The following is a 23991-nucleotide window of genomic DNA, read 5'->3' on the forward strand; positions in this document are numbered from 1 at the left end:
TTCACTTATTTCCTCTTGCGGGTTTATGGCAGACTTCCTAAAGGCAAGATTAATTTCTGAGCCAGCTTTGCAACTCCTGCAAAATAAGATACAGGGCTGTGCACAAACTATGTGATCAATAAATATCTGCTGAACTCATAAACAATATACTTATAATCTATTATTACAATGTTTAGAAAAAAAGAAAGTTAATGAGGTATTATGAGTGAATAATAACGTCTTCAGAATAAAGGACTATTATTTTTTGGAGAGTAGGATCATTGGTCCAATACTCCATGTCAACTCTGCTGCTGGTTTGTGGCAAGGTAAAGAGCTTGCACCAGAATGTAAATCAACTAACTGCTTCTTACACTGAAGAGGTCTTGCTATTTTTAAAAAGTCAGCTGAACAGTAATCAGTATGTTTAGTGACATCGCCTATTTACATTCTGGCACAAGCTCCGGATCTCACTGCAAACCAGTAAGTCTGCACTGGCCCTGATCTGCAGGCCACACTTTTCAGAATCCTGGTTCCATGCTACTACTATAGTTGGACTAACAATAACAATGATGATAATTTTACCAATTAGCATTTATAGAGTGATTATTGCATACCAGATGCTATGTTCAGCACTTAAGCACTTTATATGGATTATTTCATTTAAACTCTTAAGGACCTCATGAGGGTTTACTTTATTATTTCCATTTTTCAAATGAGGAAATGTAAACCTTCAGAGGTTTAATTTATACAGCTTCTAGAAGATCATCTGTGGTAGATCAGGTGCTTCAAGTCAGGCACTATGATCTCTGCTTAACCTCAGTTAAGTGTATAGTGTATATACTTAACCATATATCCATACTGCTTCCTGACTATATTACATATTGCTTCCAGACTACATTTTTAAAAATAGACTCACGTTGCATCACTGGGGGTTGAAGAAATACTTGACACTAATGGAGATGTCAGGAAGAGAGGTCTGGAAGAAATACCATAAAACTGAAAAACATGGTATAGATAGATTGGTAAATCTTTTTTATAGATTTTAAAAACATTTCTAATACAAAGTTACAGTCAATATTTAATACACTTTATCTCTCAAGCAAGGTATGGTTTAATTGAAACAATGGACCTAATCATTACTAGGACTTTTAGAAGGTCACTTCTTTGTTTGCCTTTGTTTTAATAGCCTCAAATCTCCCAAAATATATCCTATTTCGTTTCCAGTATCAATTTAAAGTCTTTCTGGGAAAAGATAATGTCAAAATTCAAAATTTATTTTAAAATCCTTATTTCTAGACTTGTAACGAGTTGATTGCTTTGATTTTAAGTAAGCAAATCTAGTTAATTAGCTTTTTTTAAAAAAACGTCCATTTTTAACTCAATGTTGGTTCATATCAGATACAAACAGCCTTGTATTGACAATTGGTTGAATATACAATATTATATTAATAACAACAGATACTACAGTTGATCTTAGCCAAAAGGCCGAGAAGTGATGAATATACAGTATTGAATATTGTATTGCATATTGGTTGAATAACCAACCCTGCACAATCAAATTTTTTAAAAAGAATCCTTACATTCTAATGGTACTTAAAAAAATTTTAGCCTTTGGGCAGTGGCTCATGCCTGTAATCCCATCCTTTTGGGAGGCCAAGTGGGGAGGATAATTTGAGCCCAGGAGTTTGAGACTAGCCTGGGCAACACAGTGAGACCCTGTCTCTATTAAAAAAAACATATTTTTAAATGTATATACAGAAAGTCCCCCCGAGCTCAATCAATGTTTATGTATAGTATTAATATACCACTCCCCACAAATAAGTTTCTAAGTCAAAGGTATTGTCAGAAGTTCAAATGACTGGACCACTCAGTGCTTTGTGATATTATTTTGATGATTTTTTTGACTGCATTCCATTCCAAAAACTAATTTACTCTGAGTAGAAGCAGAGTTAATAAAGCATGCAAAAATACTAATCTGGCTTATTTAAGTAGTCTAGTGACATATCTGAGAAAAATTTTGTGTGAGATTCAATAAAAGCTGAGATTTAAAGAACAGGTTACTGCTGGTCTCCCCAAGTTAACATATTTTACCTGAGACATACACAAAATTAACTTTTATCCATCTCTCTCTCTCTCTTTTTTTTTTAAAGTATTTGCTTGAGGCATAATCATAATCAACTTCTAAAGTTACATTTTACTTGATTTGTTGTCCCAAATGTAGACAAAAAAACCCATAAATAGCCACAGGCACAGTGGCTCATGCCTGGAATCCCAGCACTTTGGAAGGCTGAGGCTGGAGGAGCCCAGGAGTTCCAGACCAGCCTAGGCAACATAGCAAGACTCTGTATCTAAAAAATCTGTTTAAAAATGTTTTAAAAAATATTTTTAAACATAAATATCAAGATTTCTGTTGTTAACAAAGTAATGGGTAGTCATTTTACATGAACTTTAATAAAACAATAATAGATGAACTGTGTTGTGCGTTCTACGGTGGCTAGAGGAAAATATAATCATTCTGGGGAATGCCAATGCATGAACTCCAGGAGTAGGCACTCTTCCATTAATCCTCCCAGATTTTCAGCCCCCTTTTCTGACCATTGGTCCTTAGTCTCCGCAGGTTCTTCCACCATCAGCCCCTCCCCACAACGTAAAATGTGCATACTTCAGGGCTCTATCCTTTACCCTCTTATTCCACATAATATCCCTGGAGTAAATCATCACATTTTAACTTCAATCACTAAATGCTTAATCCAAATTTCTATCTTCATCTCAGACTTTTTCCCTTTAGTTCCAGACCCACATGTCCAACTACTACTACTTATGGGACCTCCCAACATATATGACAGGCTTCTCAAACTGAACACATCTACCCCACTTCTTAAACTCCTCAAAAATTTTTTTTTCTTCTTTAGAGTTCAATGAATAACAGAATGATCCACCCCACTGTCATCCCTGGCTTCTCCTTCCTCATCTCCTGTATCACCAAGATCTGCTAATTCTACCTTTTTTAGTGGCCCCTCCTTCTTATTCCCACCGTCGCTCTCCTAGTTCTCTTCATTTCTTCACTGAGCTTCAGCAACATCTCCAGTTTTTTGTCTCCCATTTAGGCTCTCTACCAATCTGTCATTTGAGTGTTGCCAGTGATCCTTTCCAAATGCAAAACTGATCCAGTCACTGACCCAAATCCTCCTTATTACCTTTAAGGAAGATAAACTCATGGTCCTTAGGTTCCTTCTGATTTGGCCCACATTTGCCTTTCTGGCCTTACTTCCTCCCATTTTCTGCTAATACACATGAAGAAGTATTCTCCAGTTCAGCCAGAATAAACCATGGCTTAGTTGTTCTCCCGGCCTTCGTGCCTCAGCCCAGGCTGTTCTGCTTCAGAAGCACCTGGTCATTTCCTGTTCACCCTTTATGACATGCAATTCCAGAGCCCAGGAAGTACCTAAGACATTGTGAATGTGGTATCAATGTCTGCTCTATGCCTAAGTCAATAACAGCCCTTTATATTAAAAAAGTTCATTATGACATACAAGATATTTTCATTCATAATCTATAATCACATTTATCTTGATTCTCACAACTAGACTATCAGACAACCATTGCAGGTTTTATTATCCCAAGTTATCAATGACGAAATAATAGTTTCTGTTTTTCCAAAGGGGCAAAGCTAGAAATTAATGCAATGACCCCAAACTAAAGGTTTGACCTCTCTATTATTACCCTACTTAAATTATCAGGTACACAATGAAGCCCACCGTGTGCTAAAAGCAACACAGAAGAAGCGTAAGTCATGCACTTAGCTCCAAACATATTTAATCTAGTCAGAGGTACAAGACCCATCCATATGAGATAAAATTCTATACGAAAGCATCCTACAGAGCTAAATGCTAAACCGTGTAGCACCCCCAGTAGGAGAGAGAAGTGCATTTAGTGGGCATTAGCCTAATCCTGAAAGACTTTCCAGAAACTGGGGCAGCATGCTCCTGCAGTCCCCTTTATTTATTTATTTATTTATTTAACTTTTATTTTTTTTTTTTTTGAGATGGAGTCTTGCTCGGTCACCCAGGTTGGAGTACAGTGGCCCAATCTCTGCTCACTGCAAGCTCCGCCTCCCGGGTTCACGCCATTCTCCTGGCTCAGCCTCCCGAGTAGCTGGGACTACAGGTGCCCGCCACCATGCCCAGCTAACTTTTTGTATTTTTAGTAGAGACGGGGTTTCACCATGTTAGCTAGGATGGTCTCGATCTCCTGACCTCGTAATCCGCCCGCCTCGGCCTTCCAAAGTACTGGGATTACAGGCGTGAGCTACCGCGCCCGGCCAGTCTCCTTTAGACTGTGGACGAGTAAAGGTCTGAGAGACAGACATTCCGTGTGAGTGCAACAAATTGAACGTAGACCATGACAAGTTTGGAGAACAAAGAGGAAAACACCAAAAATAGAAATTTGATTGTTTTCCACTTTTGACCGAAATCCTTAAGAGTTTCAGAAAGTATCAGATAGAGAAAAAAGTATCCTCACTCTGGTAAAGAAAACAAAAACCAACAAAAACCCTAAAACCAACAAAAACAAAAATGAAAACTTCCTTCAACTTACCACAGTAAGGCTAGAAGACAGAACTATTAATAACATGTTCATTTGCTACATTTTTTATCAACCTATTTGCATTAAATAATGTTAACCTCCCACTAAAGTTATTTCTACGTTGAATTCTAGGTAGTCAAGAGATTTAAATAAGAAAAAGACAACATCTGTTTCTTCATTGTTACTTTGTTATTCCCGATCCATAATGCTTCAGTTTGCTACATTTAGCTAAACATCAGCAAAGTAAACAATAATGTAACTATTCTATCTAGTAATGAGCTTGGAGACTTAAAAAAAAATAGAACTTTATTCCTTTTTATTTGACCACTAATAACATACTGAACATGCCGGTGAAAAGAAATAAAACACAATGGTAGAAAACTCCAAAAAGGTACAATCAGTGTCTTTACCATTCATCCCCCACCCCTATCTCATTAGCAACTTTCTGATCTCGGGTGTTTTCTCCAATAGTAAAGTGTATCCCTATATCCAAAGCAATTTCTCTAAAGCCCTTCTCACTCATTCAACAAACGTTTAACAAGTACATTGCACTAGGTGATAGAGGAAGAGAAACTGAATATTGTCCCTGCCTCAGACATTTCAGTGCCTTTACACCTCACTTCCACTCCTAACCAGTCTTCTTCCACAGGTACCCTGTCCGCTAAAATCAAATGTTGTTTTTCACAGTTGCCTTTACTTGTCACCTAAAGTATTTCAATTCAAAATTTCCTCAAAGTCAACTTCACAGCTGCTGATAAAATAATCATTCTATATGATTACAAAGTGTTTCACCAATACATATCCCCATTTTTTCCAAACTTAAAACTTCTTCAGTCCTTACTACTTTAGCATAGAGACCTGAACTGTTGTTTCTTCTTTTTAAAAAAATACTAATGCTAATCCTTTACTGTTTGAGCAGACTTAATCCTACCTTTTCTTTTGTCAATAAATGCCAGGTGTTTTTTAAATCACTATCTTGTCACTTTTGATTATGATATACTGATCACTCTATTTGTATCTTGAATGAAAAGATCGCTTTGTGATTTTACCAATGATATGTAAACTAGAACTTGAGAACCACTGGATACAGAAGTACTGCTGATCTTTAGATACTTTCTGTCTAAAAATGAAGCCCCTGTCTCCAAATTTCAGGAACAGGGAGGTAAGGTTCCATGAAGTGTTTACTTTCCACCCTTAATTTATTACCTTAATACTTCAGCTTGAGAATTATGTGTTCTGTATATATCACGCTGCTTGTCAATATCCACACGTAAACCTTCTTGTTTTGACAATTAATCTGAAAAAGTCCCCATATAGTCTAAGAGGGGGAAAACCTAATTTGGAAGAATATAATAAATGTCAGTTTCCATCACAGAATATATGCTTCTCAAGTTCAATTAACCTCTCAATGATTCCCTTTCTAAGAGGAAAGTAATTCTCCTTAGTGTCCTTGTCATCCATGGAGTGGAAATCTTTATACTGGCAAGATTAGTAATCACTTGCATGACCCCCAAAATGGCTCTTCCTTCCATTTCCCTCAAGTACTGTCTGGAGCAGCGGTTGGAATAATAGAGGGGCCATAATCTCCAGACCTGAGTACCAAATCAATCCTGCAGCCCCCACACCCTTAATGCCCCTGCACTTTCTTGCTTATCCTTTTTCTCTCCTCTCCATTTTTCTTTCCTCCTCCCGGTGTTCCGGAACCTATGACACTCTCCTGGTTGTTTGAATTTTTACAACCTACCAGATAATAATCCCTTGTGATCCTCAAAGCTTCCTTAAAGCAAACCCTGCATCACTGTGTTTTAAAACCAGTATGAAAGACTATTGTGTGAGATAATGTTACATGGTTTCACAGCCCTACAAAGTTTGGCCACAAAACGTGTGGGCAGATTCCGTAACTCAACCGGAAACGCGAAGGACTGAAACAAATCAACACACACAAAACGAAGCCAGCGACAAAGATCCAACCAGGGCCCCCTGCCTGAAATGGGACACGGGGATGATGGCAAAGCCGTGCTCTTGGCTCTCGCGATTCAGGAGGCGCTCCTGGCTCACTGGGGACGACAGCGACGACGGCAGCGGCTCGCATTGCTCCATGCTTCCCGTCAGGGGGGTTCGAGGGACCACCCCAGGCCCGGCCCATGCCCGGGCTCCGAGGGAGCCCCGGGTGCGAGGGCTGCCCGCAGGGTTCCATCCTCCCGCTGAGGCGTGGCTCCCGGAGCAGGAGGCGTGGAGGCGGCCCTCGGCATTTCGGAGTCGGGGCGGGGAACGTCCACGGCCAACTGCGGGCAGGGGACCCCCAGGCGGCTACAACAGGTGCGCCGGGGCCGCACACCCGGCTCGGGGCGCGCTCGCCCCTGCGCCGACCCCCGACCCCTTCCGCCGCGGGGGCCCAGCTGTTACCTGCAGCGGCGCCTCCCGAGTCCCGGGAGGGCGGCCCAGGGCCGGCGCCTTACCCGCGGGCAGGCCCACTCGCCCGACGGACGCCGCGGGTCGGCGACGTCGGGGCACAGGTCCTGCCAGGCCGCGGGGGCCGCCAGGGAGGGCGCGACCGCCTGACCGGGCTTCAGGGGCAGTGTCCTCAGCCGGTGACCTGGCCGCTACCCTCGCTCAGTGTCCCAGGCGACGCGCGGATCCTCACGCGCTTCCTCACTTCCTGCGGCTTTTGGTCCCTCCCGCTTGCAGTCCCTCTGGTTCTGCCCACTCCGCCTCCCGGTTGTCAGGGCAACCGTAGCGACGCCGGACCTGGCTGAGAGGCGTTAGGAGCCCCGGCGTTCGCCCGCGGAGGCCGGGGAGCAGCCGACCATGGAGCCCCAGAGTAAGGGAGGCCCAGGCTGGAGCTGGGACCGGGGCAGGTGACCGGGCTGGGGCTCCCCGGGAACGAGTGTGGGCGCCCCGCGCGGGACTCCGCAGGTTTCAACGCTCGGACACGGAAATACGGTTTGCGTCTCCTAGCACTTTTCTCTCTTGGAGAGGGGAGAAGGGGGCTACATCCTGCCAAGTCTGTATGGTTGGGCCGTTGGCGCCCGAAAGTCCGCGCTGGGGGCCGGGAGCGACTGGAGAGCCCCGAGCTATGGGTGGGGGAGGGCTCAGCGACCCCAGCTTTCACCTTCCTGAAACTTCGCCCAGACAGTTCCATTTACTCCTCCTCCTACTCATGATTTTAGTTTGGTAGTTTGGTTCATTAATTGTAAGTAGCCCATTTTTCTTCTAAAATGTCAGCAATTAAACACGTCCTAGACTGGGTCTTGTGTTTATTAGGGACCCCGTCTTACTCCCCGTCCCCCGCCCCACACCCCTAGTCTGCGACTTGAAGGAGAGAGAGAAAAAAAGAACTTTGTCCAAGTGTATTTGATTCATTCTTAGGGGTTCTACAAGTTAGGACACTCAAAAAAATGTTTGTGAGCTCTTTTTCTGTTTTCCCATGTTGCTTTCGATGTATGGCAAACGTTGTGCAGTTTTGAGTTATCAGATCTAACACGAGCTCTAACTTACTATTTTTGTTGTTGTTTTTACCTTTCCAGGGACTTTGTTTCAAGACCTTTCTTTCTCTTCCCCGCCTAGGTTGTCTTATTGTTCCTTTTGTTCTCAAAATAAGGGGAGTGTTTTGTATGGAGACTTAAAATATCTAAAACCTTCATAGAAGGATGCAGTTTGACTCTCAAACCAAGAGGTCTTATCTTGTACAATTTCAGAAATGAAGAACTCAGACCAAATCTATTCTCTGGGGAAAATGCTGGCATTTTTAAAGGTCATTCGTTTTCCACCAAGAAAGTTTCAAATACTTTTCCTTTTAACTCATTTGCTGAGGAGAAAGCTTGCAAGTTGTGACTTATAGTTGCTTGATAGATTTTGTACAGTATTTGTCATTTGCATTTACAGCTCTTTGGATTCTACATTTTTTTAACCTAGTAAAAGAAATTTAGCATGAGACAAGGGTAAAATTTTTGTTTTATGTCAAACTGATGGCAGGCTGTGTGTATTCCCACCTTAGAGAAGTGAGTTGAAATGTATCTTTTAAAAACAACAACTTGGCCAGGCCCGGTGGCTCACGCCTGTAATCCCAGCACTTTGGGAGGATGAGGCAGGCAGATCACAAGGTCAGGAGATTGAGACCATCTTGGCCAATACAGTGAAACCCATCTCTACTAAAATACAAAAAGAAAGAAAGAAAGAAAGAAAGAAAGAAAGCCAGGCATTGTGGCGCGTGCCTGGAGTCCTAGCTACTTGGGACGCTGAGGCTGAGGCAGGGAAATCGCTTGAACCTGGGAGGCGGAGGTTGCAGTGAGGCCAGATTGCACCACTGCACTCCAGCCTGGTGACAGAGCGAGACTCCATCTCGAAAAAACAAACAGAAAAAAACTTTATTTCTTCAGATTTATGTTACTGTTTACATGTGTAAACTATAATTTCAAGTTCTTCAGTGCTGTCTTTATCCATTCATTCATTTATAGTGCCTGTTATGTTGCAGCTCTGTTCTAGGTATTGGGGATTGAACAACGGATCAGACAGTGTTAGTTTTGGTCATCCCAGGAAAATTAAGCAGAGGCTTGCTCAAGAACTACTGACGTCTTGGTGGGGTTCGGAGATTGGGGGAAGAGGAGATGGACAAAGGCTCCCAAGAGGAAGTAGTACTGGGTCTGCAGAATGACCCAACAAAGAATGAGGGCAAGGGATTCCAGGCAGTGGGAATTACTGGTACATAGGCCCTGAGACCTGAGAGCAGCGTGGGTTTGAGTCTCACAGTAGGAAGATTAGTAAGGCTGTAGCTAAGGAGAGGAGGAGGAAAAAACAGGGTTGGTAGGAGGGAGGAGAAGTTAGATAAGGCTGGAAAAGTCAACCGGAGCCAGATCAGAAAGGTTCTGTAACCATGTGAGAAATGTATTACATATGTGAACTATACATTTATATCTCATGTCATTGGATTTTTGAGGTGGAAAATATTTAATTTATACCTGAGGAATGACTGTAAATTTCTTTCTTTCCACATATTCTTAAATGATCTCATCAATTTAATTTTAAATAATTCAATCACCATTTAGCTCAAGTTTTGTTTTTTTTTTTTTTTTTTGAGACAGGGTCTTGTTCTGTCACCCAGGCTGGAGTATAGTGGTGCGATCATAGCTCACTACACCCTTGAACCCTTGGGCTCAAGCAATCCTCTCAGCTGAGCCTCCTGAGTAGATGTGACTACAGGTGTGTGCCACCATACCCAGCTAATTTATTTATTTATTTAGAGACAGAGTTTCGCTCTTGTTGCCCAAGCTGGAGTGCAATGGTGTGATCTTGGCTCACTGCAACCTCCGCCTCCCAGGTTCAAGCAATTCTCCTGCGTCAGCCTCCCAAGTAGCTGGGATTACAGGCATGTGCCACCATGCCTGGCTAATTTTGTATTTTTAGTAGAGATGGGGTTTCTCCATGTTGGTTCGGCGGGTCTTGAACTCCTAACTTCAGGTGATCCTCCTGCCCTGGCCTCCCAGAATGCTGGATTACAGGTGAGAGCCACTGTGCCCAGCCCCTAATTTTTTTTTTAGTTTTATTTACTTTGAATGGAGATAAAGTCTGATTTTGTTGCCCAATTTGTTCTCGAACACCTGGCCTCAAATGATCCTCCTGCCTCGTCCTCCCAAAGTGCTAAGATTACAGGTGTGAGCCAGCACACCCAGCCTGGAAATTATTTTACAGTCTAAGAAACATAATTTGGATAAATATTTACTACCAAATGAGTTATTAAATATTTAAAAGGACAAGATTAAATGGTCTTTGAGGTTTCTTTTAACTTGGAGATTTGTATCCAACCAGATTTCACCTGAGACTGAAGTTATTTCCTACCGTCAGCGATAATGGAAGCACTACAGTTGTGGCATTCAAGTTTTACAGTGAATTACAATTATACTGTCAGCAATATTATGTTAACAGCACATTGTTTATGGCAATATTATCTAACATATTTTAAGCCCTGTTCCTTTTGTTACTGAGAGGTCTAAAATAACGTTTTACAAGTATAGTTGAATATAGCATCAGTAAATTGGTTATGAGGAAGACTCCTTCATAATTGCTTTTAAGGATTAAACATGTATCTAAGGACAACACCAAGGAACTACTAGAAATAACCCTCGAGTCAGTCTTTTCCGTTCTGTTTCCACACCCTTAGTTTTCTATTATTTTTAGGAATGACCTTTGTTAACTAAGTCATTAAAATCCAATAAACATAAACTCTTCAGACCCCACTGCTGGATCATACTCTTGGCAGCAAGCAGAGGAAGGCAGGGGCTACCACTGTTTTACAGAATAATAGTAAGTCAATGATCCAAGAAATGACTTCCCAGGGAAAGGGCAAATTAAATACGTTCACAACTTTGGGCTGTTGAGAGTGGTTTTGGCTCTTGGCTTGCACTTTGACGTTTTTAATTCTTTTCTTGCTAAACCAACTTCAGTATTGGAAAGATAGCTCATGTATAAAATAACATGGAAAATGTACATCACATCCCATTTGTTTTGGGTTTTTGTCTTTTTTTTTCTTTTTTTGGAAAATAGTTCAATAGTACTATCTCTTCCTTAATTTCTTAATGAGTGTCAATACCAAGGGGCAGCTTTGGGGATCTTTAGCCCAAATCTAAGCAAAAATATAATCTGAGTAAAAACTGTGTATATTTATCAAATGCAACATCAAGACAAGCCCCCCAACTCCCACTTGGTGCTGCCTGTTCTGTAAGCTCTTGCTATATATATATATATATATATATATTAAAAATCTGGGGTTAGTTTAGGCCCAGCAGGTAGCAGTTTTCTGCTACACATGTTTCTTTCTGTTTTTGTTTGTTTGTTTTTTGTTTTTTGAGACAGAGTCTTGCTCTGTTACCCAGGCTGCAGTGTAGTGACACTAGCTTGGCTCACTGCAACCTCCGCCTCCCAGGTTCCAGCAATTCTCCTGTCTCAGCCTCCCAAGTAGCTGGGATTACAGGTGCACGCCATCACGCCTGGCTAATTTTGTATTTTTATAGAGACAGGTTTTCACCATGTTGGTCAGGCTGGTCTCGAACTCCTCATGTCATGTGATCCACCTGCCTCGGCCTCCCAAAATGCTGGGATTATAGGCGTGTGCCACTGTGTCCAGCCTTTTTCTGCCTCCCCCTTTTTTTTGTAGTTGTTGTTTTTAGAGAGACAGGGTCTTGCTGTGTTGCCCAGGTATGCCTCAAACTCCTGGGTTCAAGGGATCCTCCCCCATCGGCCTCCCTGGGCTTACGCATGTTTTTAAAGAAATGGTAGATAAGAGATCTAAGGTATTCCAGTGACTAAGAAACTGAGGTGAATGACTAAGGGACTGAGACTTCTCTCTCCAAACCTGTTTCTCCACTAGTCTTCCAAGCCTTCCCAGTTACTCCAACCTGAAAATGAGTCATCCTTGGCTCCTCATTACCAACCCTCACCCCACTCTTCTCCATCCACCAGCAGATCTGTTTATTCCACTTCCAAAATATGCCCCAAATGTTCTTCCTCTTCCTCCGTACTCCAAGCTACCACGCCGTGTAAGTTATGATTGTGATTTTTGCATGTCTTCTTCCACTGCTACCTGGAAGCTGGAGTGACCTTTCAAAATATACATCAGATCAGATCATGTCACTCTCCTGCCAAAAGCCCTCCAAAGTTCTTACGGTGATCTAGCTGCCTCTTCAAACTCATCACACATCTGATCTTAGATGTATTATGCTTCAAGCACATTGGTCTTCTTGTAGTCCCTCAAACAAGCTTCTTTCAGGACTGTGGCTCTGAACAAGCTTTCCTCTCTGCCAGGGATGCTATTCCCTCCTGCTATGGCAGGTCTGACTCCTAATGTCCTTTAATCTTTGCCTAAATTTCACCTCCTCCAGCCCTTACCTGGCTTCCTAAAGTGGTGGTGTCCCCTCTCTGATGTTATTTTATCTCTGTGCTTTTCTCTTAATGGTAATAATCAGAACTTGTAATTATTTTGTTAATATTTAAAATCTAGCTGGACATGGTGGCTCACGCCTGTAATCCCAGCATTTTGGGAGGCCAAGGCGGGAGGATCACCTGAGGTCAGGGGTTCGAGACCAGTCTGGCCAACTGGCGAAACCCCATCTCTACTAAAAATACAAAATTAGCCAGGTGTCATGTTGCACACCTGTAATCCTAGCTACTCACGTGGCTGAGGCAGGAGAATTGCTTGAACCCAGGAGGCAGAGGTTGCAGTGAGCCGAGATAACACCACTGTTCTCCAGCCTGGGAGACAAGAGCAATGTGGGGTAGGGGGAGGGGGGAGGGATAGCATTAGGAGATATACCTAATGCTAAATGACGAGTTAATGGGTGCAGCACACCAGCATGGCACATGTATACATATGTAACTAATCTGCACATTGTGCACGTGTACCCTAAAACTTAAAGTATAATAATAATTTTTAAAAAATCTACTTTCTTCACTCGACTGTAGGGTGGTGGAAGAGGTCAGGGGACCTGTCTGCCCTGTTTGCCATCCTGTCCCTAGTGCCTAACATGGAGTAAACCCTAAACATTCATGGAATGGATAGCACTGCTGTTCACAGATAGATGCCTTACCTACTTTCATTTCCTTGAGTGTTGTGGTGGTGTTAAAAAAGAAAGCCATTTTATTCTACATTATTCTACAACACAAAGGGCTGTGCTCCAGTGAAATTTGAAGTGCCTTTTGTGGAGTGTGCTTTGAGTAAAGTTCATTTAAATCAGTTACTTATAAATGTTAGGTCAATTACAAATATGGTGTCCCATTTTCTTTTCTAACCTAAACGAGATGTTTTAAACGAGTCTCATTCTATCCGGTAAGAATAAGGAAAGAGGCAAGTAATCTTATTTTTTGGACCAAGCGGCCACGAGGTCATAAGACCTAAAAATCTTTACACTCCCAGGCAACACCTGCTCATTAATTATCTGGGAGACTGGTAAGGATTTAAAAGTAATTTTTTCCTTAAGCCCAGGAATCATTTAAAAAATCTGTATAACATTTTTTTCTCATGTAGTCTTAGCCCCGAAGAATATTAAGTCATCAATTAGGTTATAATTCAAATCTTATCAAGAAATAAATGCTTATATAAATCAAGATTAAAAAAATTTTCAAAGCAGCGTTTTTTAAACAGTCACGTTTTAAAATCCCCATCAAAATGGTAAAATTCATTGTGATCCTGACCTCTGATGCTGTCAGCCACAGGAAGGGGCAAAACGACTTGAGGCTTGAAGTCGTTTCCCAAAGCTCAGGTTCACCAAACATGGTCTCCAGATGGAGTCTGTTCCTCAGAACCTGGGCTTTACTTCTTGATGGGAGAAGGAAGCAGTGTTAAAACTTGTCTATTCTGAACTAGCCAACCAGATTAAAGGAGGGGTTTGTGCATACTAACATCATCCCAGAATGACCTGAATGACTCATTACATGCAGACAGTGGTGCAAACTCATTAACAAGTAAACAACTCACACCAGTGCTCTGTGCTCACAGGGCTGGGGGTATTCCTGGGTATTTTTCTTAAGGGAGGCTGGAAGAAGGGAGGAGGCATTCCTTTCTCTCAGAGGTAAAGGCCAGTTCCTTTTGCTGTGCCCCAGGCCTTTCCTGGTTGGTATAAACTCTTCCAGGCCTTTTCTTGGGAAGGTGCTCTCATCCCCACCCTCCTGCCTCCTCCCTCCACCTGTTGTGCACTCCCTGAGAGAAACAAAACAAGTTAATTAGCTTATTCAGCTACTTGGGAAGCTGAGGCAGGAGGACTGCTTAAGCCTAGGAGTTTGGATTCAGCCCGGGCAACATGTCGAGACCCCATCTCTAATTTTTTTTTAAGTTTTTGGTTTTTTTAATGTAAATTAACATATTCAGGCTAGTGCATGTCATCCAAAGAGGCTAGACCGTATCATTGGTAGGTAGATAAGAAAGGTCAGAGGACTGACAGAATTTAGGGTAAAAGAAAAGCAGCAGGACTTAATGTCAAGAAATACAAAGATAACCAAAGAAAAGAGGCTGGAGTTAAAGCTTAAGTGAAGTAAAAGGAATTAAAGCTAAATGATGAGTAAATACATTGAGGAACAGGGGGTGAATTAAGATGTGTAGCATTTCCATGTTTAAACCTTGCAAAAACTTCTCATTGCAGACCGAACAGAACCCAAACTCCTTCCCTTGCTTACAAGCCTACATGATCTAGCCTTTGTTCGCCTTGATGATGTCTCTACTACCCTCACCTAGTAGGCTACTATGCTCCAAGTAAAATGACATGCTGTCTGTTCATGAATCATGCCAAGTCCACTCCTCAAGGTCTGTGTAGTGGTCTGTTCCCTCTCCCTGGAATGTTCTTTCCTCTTATCTTGCATGATTGGCTTCTTACCATTCAGTTTTCCTATTCAGGAAGTATATCTGGTTGTATCTCCTAGATGGATTTTTAGTGTAAAATTTCCAGAAAAGGTTAATGTATCCTTGTATCATCATGAAAATAATGTTGCAACAATGACCAGCCATTTACCTATGACACAGCACCCTAAAAGTGTTTCCTGATGAAAATCTTGGCCTTCTTCACAGATACTCTCTTTAGTGGATTTCTTTATAATGAGATACATGCTTTTGTTAAATTTCTCAACTTTTATAAAAAGATGTCAACCTTACTCCTAACTCAGTCAACTATCACAGCTACTGCTCTGCCCTTTAGGAAGCAACAGAAAATACATATACTCAATATGTATTATCATTCTCATAACTTAAGCCTTAGATTTGAGGTAAAATAACTACCCTTTTTAAAGCAGTTAATATATACAAGGCACAATGTTATGTGAATTCCATTCATTGTGTTCATTTAACCCTCATAATAACACTATGATTTAAGACAGTATCATTTTAAAAGCATAAAAAGTAACTTCTGCCATGACACACAATTAGGATAGGAAGAAATATTTATAAAAGGTGTTAAAAAGGTGACAAAACATCCTATCTGCAATATTCTTTAAATTATATCCTTGGAACTTAATCCAAGATTATGATCTTCTTAACAGATGGGTCAGAACGCTGTGTAGTTAGAATGCACTGTTTAAGATCCCCAAGGAGGCCGGGCACGATGGCTCACACCTCTGTATCCCAGCAGTTTGGGAGGCTGAGACGGGCAGACCACGAGGTCAGGAGTCGGAGACAAATCTAGCCAACATAGTGAAACCCCGTCTCTACTAAAAATACAAAAAATTAACCGGGTGTTATGGTGTGCGCCTGTAATCCCACCTACTTGGGAGGCTGAGGCAGGAGAAATCACCTGAACCCAGAAAGCGGAGTTTGCAGTGAGCCAAGGCCATGCCACTGCATTCCAGCCAGGGTGACAGAGCGAGACTCCATCTCAAAAAAAAAAAAAAAAAACCAAAGAAATCTAATTTAGTCATTTAGGCCTTGATTTTATACCACTGACTTAGTTTGAAGGCTGCTATAAGAAACAGCCCTATGAAACTGGTATTTTTCTACTGCAAGGTGGCTACTTTAAGACAATTTTTCATTGCATTCTATCAAGGGATGTCTTATTATTATATCATTATATCAAGTGATGTTATAAATAGTAAGAATCAGATTAAGGGCTCATATGTCCTTCTTTGTATTGACTGTTGAAAAGGTACGGGGCCAAATTTGTGGTTTGTCTGGAATTACATATTTTTTGGGGGTCTCTCTATTATCTTCATATTTATCCTATCTAAATTTTCCATTGCCAAATTTCCTTACTTATTTTTAGTTTTATCCTATTGCTCATGTATTTTTATGAGTCTCCATAAGTCTATTTTGGAAAAAGGCAGAGTACTCATAATTTTAGTATATCTTTTAGCTTTATGTTGCTATAAACCTTTCATTATATACATGATCAACAACAGCAAATTATCTCACCTCAGTATTTAGTTTATTATTTTACAAACTGATTTATGATTGCTAACATGTAACTGAAGGCATACACTATTCGAACACAGTTTTCAGTAGAAAGTAGCACTGCCATTGAGTAAAAAAATGTTCTAACATCAGAGCAACATTCTTATACAAGTTTGCATGTTGTTTACTGAGGTCTAAAGTATGACTACACAAAAGGCTGAATAAAATTCAGATTCTTACATACACATAAAATTGTTTTATTGAGATGACAAAGTATATTTATTATGCCACTCAGAATATAATCCACTCTGATAACTGCCAGTGTGTGCACTTGCTGAAGTAACTCAGTACATAAATAGTAACCACAACAGTTGCCGTGCATGAAAGTTCTTCTCTTCCAGATTGAAGAGTGTACAATCTAAAGCATTTTAAAACTTTAAATCCCTTATTAGCTTAAATATAATTTAAAATTTTAGTTTGCCTTACCTATAATTTGTCTGTACACTAGGTTACTAAGGGTGATATGATTACATATGTGGACACAAAATAATTTTAATGGAAAATGAAATTAGGGTACTCAACAAAGATAAAGGGTAATGATCATGTACACTAACCATATTTGAGATTAGTTTAAGCCTGGGGTAGCTATACTTATGTTTCACAGACCTGGAGAACATAGAAAAAAAAGCTTTTATCAACATTGCTAAGGAACAGGTAAAAGCTAACATTAGGTAACTAAGAGGTGACATAAAAAAGACTGAATAAAATATCATGGAGGTTCCATAATAAGATTGGAAATTCAATAGACTAGGAGAAAAAAGATGCCAAATTGGGAAAACACATAGTAAGAAAAACGAGAGATCTCTATTTAATGATACAATAGTAGAGTTATGATTTCCTGTATAATGTAAATTTCAAGCATTTAAACATTTTCATTGAATTATAAAATACTATTTGGAAAAGAAAGAAAAACAGCACAACTGCAGATTACAGATGACTAAGATAGATGAATCATGAAAAGGTGCTAGCAGAGATTTCTATCACACCTATCAGGGATACAAAATTTCCAAGAATTTCAGAAGTGTTTGGTGATCCTATTAACGTAAATCCTGAAATAACACCTGAGTGAACTGTCTTCTAATTCTTCAACTGGATGGCTTTTTAGTGTAAAAGATGTTGAATACTGATTGACTTTTTAATAATTTTATAGTATATGTCAGAAATACTGCACAGTCCCTATTTACATCTTTCTACAGTGGTTTTTAAAATGTTTTAAGAATAAAAAACATGCAAACTTTATTTGATTTTTCTGAGGAAATAACTTTTTGGATTTAATTTCAATGAAACTGTTGATAACATTTCCCTCCCCAACAATCTCTGGCAACGATCCCTCAGATTTTAATGATTATGTATTATTACCTTTTAATACAAGTAGAATAACACTCAGGGAATTTACAACATTTGTTATTTTCAGTAAATACATTGGTTGAAGTTTAAAAGTCTATGCGTAGTAAACTTACATCTTTCAGGAGCTTGGTCAATGTGTTCTGGACAAAGCAGGAAGATGTGACTGAAATCCTGAAAGGAGCCGGCTCCTGCAGCACAAGAATAATGATACATCTGGGTACATTTCTCTTCACAGCATTTGATAGTGGCTCCAAAGTGCTTACAAAATGCACATCGCTGAAAGGGGTAAAGGAGAGAAATCTCTTTATAAAACCTTGAAAAGGAATATTCAAATATAAACTGGGAAGGTATAAAAAACTCTCTGTACATCACAAGTAAACAAATTGAACCTGCAAAATATTAAACAAAGGATTCGTTAAAAATAATAAAATCTACATTACTCAATTTAGTGCTTCGTGTGCTACCAACTCATCCTTCCATTCAAATTAGAAAGTTAGAATTTCATTCCTTATATTTTCAAAAATAAATTGTGAACCATTTTAGAAACAAAACCTAAAGATTTTTTTTTAAAAGCAAATGCTAATATGGTTAAAGGGGCAGGTTTCTATATTGAGGATTATTATAAAGTTTTTAAATCCTACCAAAACTAGTAATAGGAACATATATTATTTATGAGGCATATTACTATTTTACCCTGCCTAAAAATAAATACAAAATAAACTCATCAATTATAAGTTAACAGGGACACAAATGGTTAAAGACTCACAAAAAAAAACAAAACTACATACTTCAATGTAGCAATCAACTTCAAATTTCTTAACAAAAGATAGAAATGTGGGGGAAAAAATTAGTCATCTGGTATCTTTCCCATTTCAACCTGCCTCCATTATCTTGCAAGTGGTAAAACGCACAGAAATAAGCCCCAAACAAGAGGGGCAGTCTAGGGCAAGTGAACACATAAGAAGTCAGAAGAAATTATGTAAAATGTTGCATTTACTTATTCAGTTTTCCCTTAGAATGATTCACAAACTCTTCCTCATTCTCCCAAGTCCATTTTGAGCATCATTTTCTTTGAAGAGAGTCTGATGGGCCCTGTACTATACAGTATGAAATCTCTCTTTGGGAAATGACTATCTAACATAAATTTTTGTTTACACCGTTACATGGTACCTACTTGCTTATGCCATTACATGATCAGTTTACCTTTTTCTCATCCTAATCCAAGATCCTTCAGTTGAGTCACCATACTATCTTTGTATCCAAAGCACCAAAAATGCTGCTTCAAACAGGCCCTAATAGATAGGTGTTCCTATACATATACCAAAAAGACTTAACTTTTGGTGATCTTGTTTGTGAGTGTGGCTCATAAACAGCTTAGCTGAGATAACTGGAGCCTCACATAGCAGAGACAGTTGGACCCTGCTAACATTACTGTGGATATCTTCACATGTTACTACACTGACTTTATATTCTGCTAATTAACCAGGGACTACAGTAGTTAAAATTATAATTGTTTTCAATGTTTTATGTGTAAATCTGTATCTCACATACTATCAAACTCTTCCTCACTGTCATCAGTCTACTGCATTGAATCAACATAACAAATCTAAATGACTTCTGAGGGCTGAATCAGAAAGAAGAAAAGAAAGAGATACAAAACTCTGGCCGGCCCGGTGGCTCACACCTGTAATCCCGGCACTTTGGAAGGCCAAGGCGGGCGGATCACGAGGTCAGGAGATCGAGACCATCCTGGCTGACACAGTGAAACTCCATCTCTACTGAAAATACAAAAAATTAGCCGGATGTGGTGGCGGGCACCTGTAGTCCCAGCTACTCAGGAGGCTGAAGCAGGAGAAGCTTCTAAATAACTCATAAACACTAATTACTGTTGTGACACTTTAATTTTATATAATATTTATAAGTATACAGAATAACATTTCAGTGCTATTTTGGCACTCAAGGGTATTAATGCATTAGAAACACAGAAAAAAATAAATATTTGTCTTCATTGATAAAGTGTAATAACCAGCTTTTACAAAACAGGTAATTTTTTATATTGTAATGCCCAAGGTATCTAAATATGTTTAGTGCATTAACAGAACCCAGAATTAACTGCAAATACACCTTGGTAGTCTAAATGTCCAAACAGAAAGGTCACGTAAATGTCGAAAGAAAAAGTACAATCAATCTGTTGAAAAATGTTTATAACAACTCATTAACATAACTAATTTCTGCTAAATTGTTAAAATCTAAAATCGCTTATTTTGATACCATATGGCAAGTTTTGCAGAAGCCTTTTGCACTAAAAATAATCTTGGCAGATAAAATATAATGAGAGGTAAGTATATAATAACAGAAAATAATTTAAATTGACCAGCTTCTCAATGTCTTTGTCATTTTAGAAACACCAATATGTTCTCTTAATCATATCTGCAATGAAAAATATTATATTAGCTAAACTATTATGAAAAGTACTGGAATATATCTAACATACTAATTTACAATATCATATAAAGATATCAGTGAATAAAAGAAGGAAAATAAAACACTACATTTAGGGGAACGCTTCAAACCCATATGTTACAATTAAATAGCTAATGAAGAGCACTCGGCATTAAAAGAAATTGTTTACTATATATACACAGTCTGGAATGTATCTTCCTAAACCAAATAAAAAGTACTTGTAAAATCATAGACAATATCAAAGAATAGATTTCTACAGGGAACTTCTCAAATGTCAACACTCTTATACACTACACATAAAAGAAATCAAGCAAGTTAAAATATTAATAATATAATAAGTAATATATAATACATAAGTAACAATTACAAAGCAAATTAACATTTGGGGAGGAGGGATAAAGTAAACAGCTCTTGGCCGGGCATGGTGGCTCACGCTTTTAACCCCAGCACTTTTGGAGGCTGAGGCAGGTGGATCATTTGAGCTCAGGAGTTCGAAACCAGCTTGGGCAACATGGTGAAACTCCATCTCTACAAAAAATGCAATAATTAGGTAGGCATGGTGGCATGCACCTATAGTCCCAGCTACTCATGAGCCTGGGGTGGGAAAATTGCTTGAGCCCAGGAGGTTGAGGCTGCAGTGAGCTGTGATCACGCTACTGCACTCTAGCCTGGGCAACAAAAGTGAGAACCTGTCTATAAAAATTAAAAAAAAAAAGCCCTTAAATGGTTTATCAACTAAATGGTTTATTTGAATCAATAATGAAAATTCCTAGACGGCATTTTTTCTTTTTACTTTTATTCATCATTGAAAAGACAGGGAGTAAGAAAAGGAAAAAAGCAACATGTTATAATAATATTTTCCCATATTAATCCAAGAACACAATAACAACAACAAAAACTCAGTTGAGAACTCATATTACCAATTTTAAGAATGAGTCTGAGGAATTTTCAAAACTTTTATTTAATAGATTGAAATAATCTGTCAAAATGTATCTATAAAAAACAGAATGAACAAAATTTCTGAGATTAAAGTTGTATCATAAAAAAATACCAAGAAGTTAAATATTCCACAGTTCATTTAATTAATTATCCAGTATTTATTCTGTACCAACTACAGCAATGGTTTTAGGCTACGTGCTCTAATAAATAAGTATTGTAAGGCTCCCCATGCTCCAAATTTGTTTTTAATCTTCACCAATCTGTTTTTAGTGTTAGGCAACTAGGATTCTCCCAGGATGCAGTAATAAAGAACAAAGATGGAAAGCAAGAGAAAGAGGCAGAATGACATGAAAATCTGATCCAGAAGGTGCAACGTCTGTTTTATATGAGTACCAGAAGGGGAGAAAATAGAAGGGATTATAATCACCAAAATTCTAAAGGAAAAGTTATGTATATATCTAATAATAAAAGCTAACATTTAATTAAGCATAATCCTCATTCAACAGATGAGGAACCTAAAACCCAAAGAGTCATTATCACTGTTCCACTTATCTCTATATCCCTACAAAAATACTCACTCTTGATCTGTAACAATGCCTCCTTAAAATCCCTGAATGGCAGCTTCAGGTAAAAGCTTCCCAGAAAGTTTGAAATAACAAGGATAAAAGGAAAATTCTTGGAGCCACATAAAAAAGAAAACAAATCATTACAAAAAAAGAAGAATCGGGCATCAGTTCTCATTACCAATACTGAATTAAAAAGAAACCCCCAAAAAATCATTATTTTCCTAAGTCTATAAAAAATTATTTAAAACCAAAATTTTAATGTCTGTTAAGCTAACATTCAAGTCCATGGATAGCAAATGCAAATAGGTTAAATTCTCTAGTAAAAGACAGCAACTTTCAAAATATGCAAAATATACTACTTAACACATACACATATTTTACCTGTAACTATACTACAGACTTCATTTATGTATGTGTGTGTGTGTACACATATATAATATAAAATGAATGAAATACTTTGGATATTTGTCCCCGCCAAAATTTCATGTTGAAATGTAATCCCCGATGTTGGAGGTGGGGCCTTATGGGAGGTGTTTGGGTCATGGGGGCAAATCCCTCATGGCTTGGTGCTGTCCTTGCGATAACGAGTGAGTTCTCACAAGATCTGGTTGTTCAAAAGTGTATGGCATCTCCACCCATCTCCTTTGCTCCTGTTCTTGCTATGTGAGATGCCTGCTCCCCTTTCTCCTTCCACCATTATTTCAAACTTTTTTTAAAAATTTATTATTTATTATTATTATCATTATTTTTGAGACAGAGTTTCACTCTGTTGCCCAGGCTGGAGTGCAATGGCCTGATCTCGGCTCACTGCAACCTCCACCCCCCAGGTTCAAGCGATTCTCCTGCCTCAGTCTCCTGAGTAGCTGGGATTACAGGCACCTGCCACCGCACCCGGCTAAATGATTTCAAACTTCTTGAAGCCCTCACCAGAAGCAGATGCCGGCACCACACTTCCTGTACTGTCTGCAGAATCGTGAGCTAATTAAACCTCTTTTTGTTATCAATTACCCAGCGACAGGTATTTCTTTACAGCAACACAGGAACGGCTATATATATATATATATATATATATATATATATATATATATTCATACATATGCACAATGCACAGTGACATACACAATTCAAAAACAGACATGAGGGGACAAAACACAAACGCTATCCAAAAAATGCAGGTATAGCAATAATTGCAAAGAAACAGAATTTAAACTAAAAAGCAGTGAACAAGTCAAAGATAATAATTCATAATAACATAAGTTTTATGTTACAGTGTAAATTCCAAAAGAAGCCATAGTCATTAAAGTTTATACAACTAATAAGTATATGTCACACATAGAAAGTAAAGCTGAGTAGAAATAACATGCATAGATTAGACTTTAACATAGCTCTCAAAACAGGATATTAAGTAGATATGAAATAAATAATAGCAATGATCGGGTTTGATTCAAACAGACACATAAAATACACACAGATCTCTGAATTCCAAAAATAGAGAAAACATTCTATTCAAATGTACATAGAATTTTCAAAAAAAAATTCACATGTATGGTCATAAGGAAATGTCCACATATTTTAAAAAGCAGTTATTTCCTAGGTTATATCCAGTAAAAGCAGATGCGTCCCTAGACCTAATACAATAAAAATTAGAAATTCACAATATAAGGATAAACTCCCAAATCTATCCACTGGCAAAATTTAAAAGTCCTTTCTATATAATGGCAGAGTTTCAATCAAGAAGAAGAATCATGTATTATTTTTAAATGATTAAGAAACATCAAAAAAATCTCTCAGACATGGCAAATGTGGTATTCAGAGGAAAAAATATAGCTTCAAACATGCAAAACGTAAGACTAAAGAATTACAATAAATAATGCCCGATTCAAAAATTAAGCCTATAAGAATCAATATATAATCCATGAGATTCGCAATCTAGGTAAGTAAACCCACCCTAATACTGTGTTTATTAAAATGCTGTTAATGAGATCCGAGGTTTAAACAACTGTTTGCTTTAGAAACTGAAATAAAGCTGACTGAAATAAAACCTAATCTATGAAATTATTCTGTATATGAATTGACCTGAAGTAATGAACAGTTCAATGACTGACTCATGACTCTTGTTCTGGTCCAGGCTAAGCATTCTAGTTGGCATACTATTAAACACACATTTCTGATTGAAACATCTGCTAAAAAAAT

The 23991-nt window shown here is 38.9% G+C and overlaps 1 long non-coding RNA gene and 1 pseudogene across 2 annotated transcripts; one reads left to right on the forward strand and one right to left on the reverse strand.

Annotated features, from left to right (window-relative positions):
- Positions 1–1362: 1362 nt before the first annotated feature.
- On the reverse strand, positions 1363–1476 carry LOC124905166 (uncharacterized; annotated as a pseudogene).
- Positions 1477–7284: 5808 nt separating this feature from the next.
- On the forward strand, positions 7285–18255 carry LOC105379418 (uncharacterized). Of its 2 annotated transcripts, XR_950596.4 has the most exons (3): positions 7285–7384; positions 14691–14851; positions 17953–18037. It is a non-coding gene; the product is annotated as an uncharacterized LOC105379418 (long non-coding RNA). The 2 variants fall into 2 exon arrangements; XR_950597.4 differs by lacking the exon at positions 14691–14851 and having other exon boundaries at positions 17953–18255.
- Positions 18256–23991: the final 5736 nt, after the last annotated feature.

Source organism: Homo sapiens, chromosome 22, assembly GCF_000001405.40.
Source record: "Homo sapiens chromosome 22, GRCh38.p14 Primary Assembly".
Taxonomy (NCBI): domain Eukaryota; kingdom Metazoa; phylum Chordata; class Mammalia; order Primates; family Hominidae; genus Homo; species Homo sapiens.